General features: G+C 42.1%; 1 protein-coding gene across 1 annotated transcript in view; it reads left to right on the top strand.

Annotated features, from left to right (window-relative positions):
• The window catches only part of SCFD2 (sec1 family domain containing 2), a 493080-nt gene that overhangs the window by 389938 nt on the left and 91681 nt on the right, over positions 1-11461 (top strand). The window lies entirely within an intron of this gene.

The raw sequence follows: 11461 nt of genomic DNA, 5'->3' as shown, positions 1-11461 counted from the left end.
ATATGCATACACGTGCCATGTTGGTGTGCTGCCCCCATTAACTCGTCATTTAACATTAGGTATATCTCCTAATACTATCCCTCCCCCCTCCCCCCACCCCACAACAGGCCCCAGTGTGTGATGTTCCGCTTCCTGTGTCCATGTGTTCTCATTGTTCAATTCCCACCTATGAGTGAGAACATGTGGTGTTTGGTTTTTTGTCCTTGCGATAGTTTGCTGAGAATGATGGTTTCCAGCTTCATCCGTGTCCCTACAAAGAACGTGAACTCATCCTTTTTTATGGCTGCGTAATATTCCATGGTGTATATGTGCCACATTTTCTTAATACAGTCTATCATTGTTGGACATTTGAGTTGGTTCCAAGTCTTTGCTATTGTGAATAGTGCCACAATAAATATTCGTGTGCATGTGTCTTTATAGCAGCATGATTTATAATCCTTTGGGTATATACCCAGTAATGGGATGGCTGGGTCAAATGGTATTTCTACTTCTGGATCCCTGAGGAATTGCCACACTGACTTCCACAATGGTTGAACTAGTTTACCGTCCCACCAACAGTGTGTAAAAGTGTTCCTATTTCTCCACATCCTCTCCAGCACCTGTTGTTTCCTGACTTTTTAATGATCACCATTCTAACTGGTGTGAGATGGTATCTCATTGTGGTTTTGATTTGCAATTCTCTGCTGGTCAGTGATGATGAGCATTTTTTCATGTGTCTGTTGGCTGCATAAATGTCTTCCTTTGAGAAGTGTCTGTTCATATCCTTCGCCTACTTTTTGATGGGGTTGTTTGTTTTTTTCTTATAAATTTGTTTGAGTTCATTGTAGATTCTGGATATTAGCCCATGGTCAGATGAGTAGGTTGCAAAAATTTTCTCCCATTCTGTAGGTTGCCTGTTCACTCTAGTGGTAGTTTCTTTTGCTGTGCAGAAGCTCTTTAGTTTAATAAGATCCCATTTGTCAATTTTGGCTTTTGTTGCCATTGCTTTTGGTGTTTTAGACATGAAGTCCTTGCCCATGCCTATGTCCTGAATGGTATTGCCTAGGTTTTCTTCTAGGGTTTTTATGGTTTTAGGTCTAACATTTAAGTCTTTAATTCATCTTGAATTAATTTTTGTATAAGGTGTAAGGAAGGGATCTAGTTTCAGCTCTCTACATATGGCCAGCCAGTTTTCCCAGCACCATTTATTAAATAGGGAATCGTTTCCCCATTTCTTGTTTTTGTCAGGTTTGTCAAAGATCAGATGGTTGTAGATATGCGGCATTATTTCTGAGGGCTCTGTTCTGTTCCATTGGTCTATATCTCTGTTTTGGTACCAGTACCATGCTGTTTTGGTTACTGTAGCCTTGTAGTATAGTTTGAAGTCAGGTAGTGTGATGCCTCCAGCTTTGTTCTTTTGGCTTAGGGTTGACTTGGCAATGCAGGCTCTTTTTTGGTTCCATATGAACTTTAAAGTAGTTTTTTCCAATTCTGTGAAGAAAGTCATTGGTAGCTTGATGGGGATGACATTGAATCTATAAATTACCTTGGGCAGTATGGCCATTTTCATGATATTGATTCTTCCTACCCATGAGCATGGACTGTTCTTCCATTTGTTTGTATCCTCTTTTATTTCCTTGAGCAGTGGTTTGTAGTTCTCCTTGAAGAGGTCCTTCATGTCCCTTGTAAGTTGGATTCTAGGTATTTTATTCTCTTTGAAGCAATTGTGAATGGGAGTTCACTCATGATTTGGCTCTCTGTTTGTCTGTTATTGGTGTATAAGAATGCTTGTGATTTTTGCACATTGATTTTGTATCCTGAGACTTTGCTGAAGTTGCTTATCAGCTGAAGGAGATTTTGGGCTGAGACGATGGGGTTTTCTAGATATACAATCATGTCATCTGCAAACAGGGACAATTTGACTCCCTCTTTTCCTAATTGAATGCCCTTTATTTCCTTCTCCTTCCTGATTGCCCTGGCCAGAACTTCCAACACTATGTTGAATAGGAGTGGTGAGAGAGGGCATCCCTGTCTTGTGCCCGTTTTCAAAGGGAATGCTTCCAGTTTTTGCCTATTCAGTATGATATTGGCTGTGGGTTTGTCATAGATAGCTCTTACTATTTTGAGATATGTCCCATCAATACCTAATTTATTGAGAGTTTTTAGCATGAAGGGTTGTTGAATTTTGTCAAAGGACTTTTTCTGCATCTATTGAGATAACCATATGGTTTTTGTTCTTGGTTCTGTTTATATGCTGGATTACATTTATTGATTTGCCTATGATGAAGCAGCCTTGCATCCCATGGATGAAGCCCACTTGATCATCGTGGATAAGCTTTTTGATGTGCTGCTGGATTTGGTTTGCCAGTATTTTATTGGGGATTTTTGCATCGATGTTCATCAGGGATATTGGTCTAAAATTCTCTTTTTTGTTGTGTCTCTGCCAGGCTTTGGTATCAGGATGATGCTGGCCTCATAAAATGAGTGAGGGAGGATTCCCTCTTTTTCTGTTGATTGGAATAGTTTCAGAAGGAATGGTACCAGCTCCTCCTTGTACCTCTGGTAGAATTCAACTGTGAATCCTTCTGGTCCTGGAGTTTTTTTGGTTGGTAAGCTATTAATTATTGCCTCAATTTCAGAGCCTGTTATTGGTCTATTCAGAGATTCAACTTCTTCCTGGTTTAGTCTTGGGAGGGTGTATGTGTCGAGGAATTTATCCATGTCTTCTAGATTTTCTAGTTTATTTGCATAGAGTTGTTTATAGTATTCTCTGATGGTAGTTTGTATTTCTATGGGATCGGTAGTGATATCCCCTTTATCATTTTTTATTGTGTCTATTTGATTCTTCTCTCTTTTCTTCTTTATTAGTATTGCTAGCGGTCTATCAATTTTGTTGATCTTTTCAAAAAACCAGCTCCTGGATTCATTGATTTTTTTGAAGGGTTTTTTGTGTCTCTATTTCCTTCAGTTCTGCTCTGATCTTAGTTATTTCTTGCCTTCTGCTAGCTTTTGAATGTGTTTGCTCTTGCTTCTCTAGTTCTTTTAATTGTGATGTTAGGGTGTCAATTTTAGATCTTTCCTGTTTTCTCTTGTGGGCATTTAGTGCTATAAATTTCCCTCTACACACTGCTTTGAATGTGTCCCAGAGATTCCGGTATGTTGTGTCTTTGTTCTCATTGGTTCCAAAGAACATCTTTATTTCTGCCTTCATTTTGTTATGTACCCAGTAGTCATTCAGGAGCAGGTTGTTCAGCTTCCATGTAGTTGAGCAGTTTTGAGTGAGTTTCTTAATCCTGAGTTCTAGTTTGATTGCACTGTGGTCTCAGAGACAGTTTGTTATAATTTCTGTTCTTTTACATTTGCTGAGGAGTGTTCTACTTCCAACTATGTGGTCAATTTTGGAATAGGTGTGGTGTGGTGCTGAAAAGAATGTATATTCTGTTGATTTGGGGTGGAGAGTTCTGTAGGTGTCTATTAGGTCTGCTTGGTGCAGAGCTGAGTTCAATTCTTGGATATCCTTGTTAATTTTCTGTCTTGTTGATCTGTCTAATGTTGACAGTGGGGTGTTAAAGTCTCCCACTATTATTGTGTGGGAGTCTAAGTCTCTTTGTAGGTCTCTAAGGACTCGCTTTATGAATCTGGGTGCTCCTGTATTGGGTGCATATATATTTAGGATAGTGAGCTCTTCTTGTTGCATTGATCCCTTTACCATTATGTAATGGCCTTCTTTGTCTCTTTTGATCTTTGTTGCTTTAAAGTCTGTTTTATCCGAGACTAGGATTGCAACCCTTGCCTTTTTTTGTTTTCCATTTGCTTGGTAGATCTTCCTCCATCCCTTTATTTTGAGCCTATGTGTGTCTCTGCACATGAGATGGGTTTCCTGAATACAGCACACTGATGGGTCTTGACTCTTTATCCGATTTGCCAGTCTGTGCCTTTTAATTGGAGCATTTAGCCCATTTGCATTTAAGGTTAGTATTGTTATATGTGAATTTGATCCTGTCATTATGATGTTAGCTGGTTATTTTGCTTGTTAATTGATGCAGTTTCTTCCTAGCCTCGATGGTCTTTACAATTTGGCATGTTTTTGCAGTGGCTGGTACCAGTTATTCCTTTCCATGTTCAGTGCTTCCTTCAGGAGCTCTTTTAGGGCAGGCCTGGTGGTGACAAAATCTCTCAGCATTTGCTTGTCTATAAAGGATTTTATTTCTCCTTCACTTATGAAGCTTAGTTTGGCTGGATATGAAATTCTGGGTTGAAAATTCTTTTCTTTAAGAATGTTGAATATTGGCCCCCACTCTCTTCTGGCTTGTAGAGTTTCTGCGGAGAGATCTGCTGTTAGTCTGATGGGCTTCCCTTTGTGGGTAACCCGACCTTTCTCTCTGGCTGCCCTGAACATTTTTTCCTTCATTTCAACTTTGGTGAATCTGACAATTATGTGTCTTGGAGTTGCTCTTCTCAAGGAGTATCTTTGTGGCGTTCCCTGTATTTCCTGAATTTGAATGTTGGCCTGCCTTGCTAGATTGGAGAAGTTCTCCTGGATAATATCCTGCAGAGTGTTTTCCAACTTGGTTCCATTCTCCCTGTCACTTTCAGGTACACCAATCAGATGTAGATTTGGTCTTTTCACATAGTCCCATATTTCTTGGAGGCTTTGTTCATTTCTTTCTATTCTTTTTTCTCTAATCTTCTCTTCTCGCTTCATTTCATTCATTTGATTTTCCATCACTGATACCCTTTCTTCCAGTTGATCGAATCAGCTACGAGGCTTGTGCATTCGTCATGTAGTTCTCGTGCCATGGTTTTCAGCTCCGTCAGGTCCTTTAAGGACTTCTCTGCATTGGTTATTCTAGTTAGCCATTTGTCTAATTTTTTTTCAAGGTTTTTAGCTTCTTTGCCATGGGTTCAAACTTCCTCCTTTTGCTCGGAGTAGTTTGATCTTGTGAAGCCTTCTTCTCTCAGCTCGTCAAAGTCATTCTCCATCCAGCTTTGTTCCATTGCTGGTGAGGAGCTGGGTTCCTTTGGAGGAGGAGAGGTGCTCTGATTTTTCGAGTTTCTGGTTTTTCTGCTCTAGTTTTTCCCCATCTTTGTGGATTTATCTACCTTTGGTCTTTGATGATGGTGACGTACAGATAGGGTTTTGGTGTGGATGTCCTTTCTGTTTGTTAGTTTTCCTTCTAACAGTCAGGACCCTCAGCTGCAGGTCTTTTGGAGTTTGCTGGAGTTCCACTCTAGACCCTGTTTGCCTTGGTATCAGCAGCAGAGGCTGCACAACAGCGGATATTGGTGAGCAGCAAATGTTGCTGCCTGATCGTTCCTCTGGAAGTTTCGTCTCAGAGGAGTACCCGGCCGTGTGAGGTGTCAGTCTGCCCCTACTGGGGGATGCCTCCCAGTTAGGCTACTCGGGGGTCAGGGACCCACTTAAGGAGGCAGTCTGTCTGTTCTCATATTTCCGGCTGCGTGCTGGGAGAACCACTACTCTCTTCAAAGCTGTCAGACAGGGACATTTAAGTCTGCAGAGGACTCTGCTGCCTTTTGTTTGGCTACTCCCTGCCCCCAGGGGTGGAGTCTACAGAGGCAGGCAGGCCTCCTTGAGCTTCAGTGGGCTTTACCCAGTTCCAGCTTCCTGGCAGCTTTGTTTACCTACTCAAGCCTCAGCAATGGTGGGTGCCCCTCCCCGAGCCTCGCTGCCACCTTGCAGTTTGATCTCAGACTGCTGTGCTAGCAATGAGCCAGGCTCCATGGGCATAGGACCCTCTGAGCCATGCACAGGATATAATCTCCTGGTGTGCTGTTTGCTAAGACTGTAGGAAAAGTGCAGTATTAGGGTGGGAGTGACCCGATTTTCCAGGTGCTGTCTGTCACCCCTTTCTTTGACTAGGAAAGGGAATTCCCTGACCCCTTGCACTTACCGGGTGAGGCGATGCCTCGCCCTGCTTTGGCTCACACTGGGTATGCTGCACCCACTGTCCAGCACCCACTTTCCAACACTCCCCAGTGAGATGAGCCCGGTACCTCAGTTGGAAATGAAGAAATCACCTGTCTTCTGTGTCGCTCACGCTGGGAGCTGTAGACTGGAGTTGTTCCTATTCAGCCATCTTGGCTCCACGCCCCAATTGTTTTCTTTTATACTCCTTGAGATTTTTACCCTCTTTAAACATTTTTATAAGTGAAAAAAATGCAACTGTATTGAAGAAAACTGCCCATTTTCAAAAAACTAACAGTGATTTTCATTTTTGCATGTTGTCTTCCAGTTCAGCCTCACACTATTAATGTTTTCCATAATGGTCCTTGCAGGTCATCTTAGGCAGTAGAGGCTAGGTTTTGCTCCAGTTAACATAATCCCCAAATCTCAGGGGCTAAACACAACTCAAATTCATATCTCACTCCCTCTGCATCACTGCCTCAGGTTTGCAGAAGGCTCTGCTTATCATAGTCACTCCTCCTCAGGCCCAAGGGGTCAGACCTCATCAGGACACACACTTCCACAATCACTGAGGCAGAGGAAGGAGAAACAGCAAATTACAAACAGCCTCTTAAGAGTCCTGTCTGGAAGTAACACCCATCACCCCAGCTTCCTTTCCACCAGCCAACACAAATCACATGGCCAAGCCAACTTCCAGGGACTGAACTGTTCATCTACTGTGTGCCTGGAAGAACAAGAGATGGAATGTTTGAGAGGGGCCCTTATGAGTTCCATAAGTATATTCTATTCTGTCATGAACTCTAATTTCCTAAACCATTTTCCTACCAATGGATATTTGGGCCAAGAGCAATGATTTATATTTATGTATGATTTAAAAACATGTTGTTAAAAATTATTCAATGATACTTACTAAAGCACAGTAAGGAAGACTTTATTCAGAACCATAAAGGTAGCTATACAGACCACCACAATAGGGTCTTGCAGTCAGGAAAAAGATTGAGCTCAACTCCAAACACATCATAAGCAAGTGGGAATTTATAGCCAAGGAAGAGTGTGGGAGTCAGTGGATGGAAAATTACTAAGGGGAGACATCACGGGTGAGGGAGAGTCTGGCTAAACCCACCTAACAGGATTCTTGCCAAAGACAGGCCAGGGTGATTGGACATCACCTGGGGAATGGTGGAGGGTGAGAAACCTAATCAGATGTCAAGGATGATCAGATATTGAGGATAGCGGTTCTTGCTAAACTGATGTAGCAGAATTCTTTGCCAAAACTGGATTTTACAAGAAAGTGAACATATGGGCCTAGCAGAGGATTCAGAAGCCTAACTGGCGTTTGGCCAAGCAGAGAATCTTTGTCATATATTTGAATGTGTTTTATGGCCCCATCCCCAGGTAATATTTGGCTGCCCCCACATGAGATCCCTTGAGCACAACACACACATATACATACATGCACACACACCAGCACCCAGACACACACACAGTTGGTTGCCGATCCCCACACCAACAGCATCCCCCTCATACCTGTCCAATTCTGTCTTGCAGTGATAGAAGTATAAATCAGAGATTTTTGTCACACCCACTTCCCTGTGGCTAGGTTCTTGACAACCTCTGTGTAATCTTCCCTTCTTGCAGTAAAGAATTCATAATAGTATCTGTCGTCCATGTCAGCCAACCACGGCTACATAAATGCTGAACACACATACATGCATGCACACACACACCCATACACCCGATCACCTATTTGCCCCACGGCCACAGATTGGAAGACCAGATATAAACAAAGCCCAGCCATGAAACAGAACCAAGTATGCCTGCATGTTCTGACTTGCTCCCATTTGAACTCAAGGTGTCATTTTAAGTACCTTATCTCCTCCCTGATGCAGCCTCTGACTTTGTGCCTTTTAGTAAGAATATCTTTTGTGCACAGCATTTAAAATGTCAAACAACAATGCTCTCTGCGTAGTTGAGCAACAGCAACCTATAGTGTTAGCCCTAGCACAGTGCCTGGCACACAGTAGCCCCGGTCTAAATGAGAGCAGAGATGACTTTAGAAATGGAATGAGCAAACATTGATGGCTGTGATTCCCCTGCAAGGGTGGTGGCATTTCCCAGCCATGAAATGGCCTCTATTAATACAGGCCAAAGGACTGTTGTGGCTTTTGAATTGAATTATTATGTGTTGCCAGCCTTCCAGATGATAAAATAAAATGTTAGTGGGATGCTAGAGCCATCTTCCTTGTAGTTGTAGAATTAAATTTAACAAAAATATTAATAACTGAGAGGACCCCGGCTGAAGTTATATTGGAACTGGGAAACAAGTCAACACTGATGGGAATGACATAGGGAGGGGAAAAAGGAAGAGACAGAATTGTGCAGAGCAGGGCATGAGACACAGGCTCCAGAGCCCAGAGGGTAGACAAAGGGTCTCACAAGCTCAGGCATGGCTCAGAAAACACTGGTACCACCAGACCCAAACCAGCAAACAGGGCAATGGGGAGAGATTCCAAAAGGAATCAGCACCAGCTGTAGTCTCATGAGGAAATATGTGCATTTGTGGTCTTATCAGGAGTACAGAGAACTGGACCACTTCTCCCATGGAAGGAACACCAGGACTGGCAGGAACTGAGAGACATTACAGGACATTTGGGACTGCCTAGATTCCAATTCTCAGACTGCCATTTGTTTACTGTATTCCTTTGGCAAGTTATGCTTGAGTTTCCTCATCTGTAAAATGGGATTAATATTAGTACCTACTTCATGGGGATGTTGTGAAAATTAAGCAAAATAACATGTATAGAGTTACTTAGGGACAACAAGGACTGCCATGTAGTAAGTGATTTGAAAATGTAAGATCTAGGAGGGGTTCTCGGGTCCCAGAGGCAAAATGGGATTTAGGGCAAGGTCCCAGAACTAGAGGCAAGCTGGGGTTCCATGTGGAAGCTGGCCAACCCCAGGGTAGAGAACCAGAAGTAAGAGTGAGACCATGGTAGAAAGATCAAGAATGTGCAGCAACATGCCCTTGAGGTTGTTTAAAGATGCAGATGATGGACAATATGGGTGAACCTAGAAGACATTATGCTAACTGAAGTAAGCCAAAAATAAAAGGACAAATATTGTATGATTCTACTTATATGAAGCATCTCCAGTAGTCAAATTCATAGAGACAGAAAGTAAAATGGATGGTGTTTGCCAGGTCCTGGAGGGAAGGAAGAGTGTGGTTACAGTTTAATGGGTCAAGAATTCAGCCTTGCAAAAGAAAAGGAGTTCCAGAGATGGATGGTGGTGTTGGCTGCACAATGTGAATGTTGTTAATGCCACTGAACTGTACACTTAAAATGGCTACAATGGTAAATTTTATGTTATATACATGAGCTTTACACAATTTTTTTTAAAAACAAAGGAAGTCTGTATAAAGTTTATACTTTAGTTAAGAAAATGTATCAATATTGGTTCACTAATAGTAAAAAAAAGTACCAGACTTATGTAAGATGTCGATAATAAGAGAAACTGGCTTCAGATAGCAATAAATTATATAAGAAATCTTTATACTATTGTCACTTTTTTTATAAATCTAAAACTGTCCTACCAAACAAATGAAGTATATTTTTAAAAACTAGATGCAGAAGATGGGAAGAACCAGATAAAGAGCTGCTTGGTTGAGTAAGAGCTCCCTTGGTTGAGTAAGGGGTGGTTGAGATTTGGGGAGAGATTGTTATGAGCCTGAAAACAGAGATTAAAAAGGTGATGTGGAAGGTAATGTGGGAAGGAGGAAAGGGATTTAAAGAATCCGAGGAATCACAAGATTGACCACAGCAGCAGATGAGCAGATGACCGTGGGCACTGCCTGGGAAAGGACTCAGGTCATCAAGTGACCTGTGCTTACGTTGATCTACTTTGCACATGCACAGGAGAATGTCATAAAAAACACACGTATAATCAGTTGAGAGTATTTCAAATTCCAGATATGGAAGATTACTAAACATGCATCCTTGGTATGTTTCCTTAAAGCACAACAAAATCCTGGCATTTACGAACAAAAAGAATGGTGCAGGGCATGAGGCATGGGCCCATCACCAGATGGCCTGGTGTGTCTCCATAAATGAGGGCACTTCAACATGTCAAGACTGGGCTGTCAAGGGTTGATCCTATAAATCAGATGTCGTTTTCATAGGATCGTGCCATTTTTAATTCTTGTCCCAAGAAAGTCTTTATCAATCAGATCCAAGTTTAGCACATTTTTAGCACCCATGAAGTCTGTATTTGGCATGTTTACCCATGTTGTTTGAATTACAATAACTGGTAGCATTATTAGCATAGAGTATTATTTGCAGACACCAGAGTCAAGTTTTTTGAGTAATAAATAATAGAAAAGAGACCACAACCATGATCTTCCTATTATGACTATGAAAGAATGAATTGTGAGCTCCTAGGCTCCTTCTATAACAACTGTCAAGCCAAATGAAACCAAGTCATGGCAGGTTTTGGTCACATGTATGGTACTGAGCTGTTTTCCTAAAGGCCAGACCCAGCCAGGCTTGCTGGCTACAGCAGGAGGTGCTAGAGGAGGCATGGAACATCAGAAGTGGGCAACGCACAGCCTCCATGGGTGCTCTGCTCCACACCCTCTGGGAGCTGAAATGTCAGCAATATTGGCATCATTTTGAATACTGCACAGTGCTGTGGAAATTGGGCATGCACAGATTCTGACCAATAAACATGAGAAGAATAAGGAAGTTACGGGACACCACTCTGTGGGTAGAATGAACACTAGCATGGCAGGGGCAGAATAAAAGAAGCATGTGCTCAGCCGCTGGGGGAAATGGGCATTGGTTAGGGGTGCCAGAGGAACTGAGGGCTCTGGGCTGAGGCTGGAAACCAGTAAATAGTGTCTGTGGCATGAAGTGAGGAATCAAAGAAATCCAATAATATGCCATGAAAGATGTCACTCTTAGGCCCATCATTTTTTGCGGGGGGGCTTTTATAGTCTACCTAATTTATTGGGGTGTTTTCAATATGGCTCCTAGAAAAGGAAATATGTGCAACAGAATGCAGAAATAACACGAAATCTGACATTTTCCAGCCTGGCCTCCACCTATCATGATGGTTACGGCATGTAGACGGTGTTCAATACATGCTGTCTGAGTGAATGATCATTATGAAATAGATGGCAACAGCACTGTGTGTGTGTGTGTGTGTGTTTGTGTTTTGTTTTATTCATTTAGTCACCACCATACATTTTGCCTTTCAGATTAGGAATCATGTAATTAATGTCATTTCTGCGAGGCTTTTTCCATTGCAAGATGGGATCTGAACTGATACCATTGTCTAAATTACTCACTAAATTAACATAGTGTTATTTTATCTCAGATGCTTATCTTAGAGCATCCAATTTTATGCTGGCTCACCCTTAGGAGTACTCAAGTGAGGGCTGGACAACAAACTGCACTTGATGGGTGTTTGAGACCAAAAGATTCAAGGATCGCTTCTGAGTCCTTGTGTATGTGTGTGTGTGTGTGTGTGTGTCCCTCACATTTCGCAAGGTCAATATTA

Source organism: Homo sapiens, chromosome 4, assembly GCF_000001405.40.
Source record: "Homo sapiens chromosome 4, GRCh38.p14 Primary Assembly".
In the NCBI taxonomy this organism is placed as follows: Eukaryota; Metazoa; Chordata; class Mammalia; order Primates; family Hominidae; genus Homo; species Homo sapiens.
The sequence above is the reverse complement of the archived record's forward strand: the minus strand, read 5'-3'. Positions and strand labels throughout refer to the sequence as shown.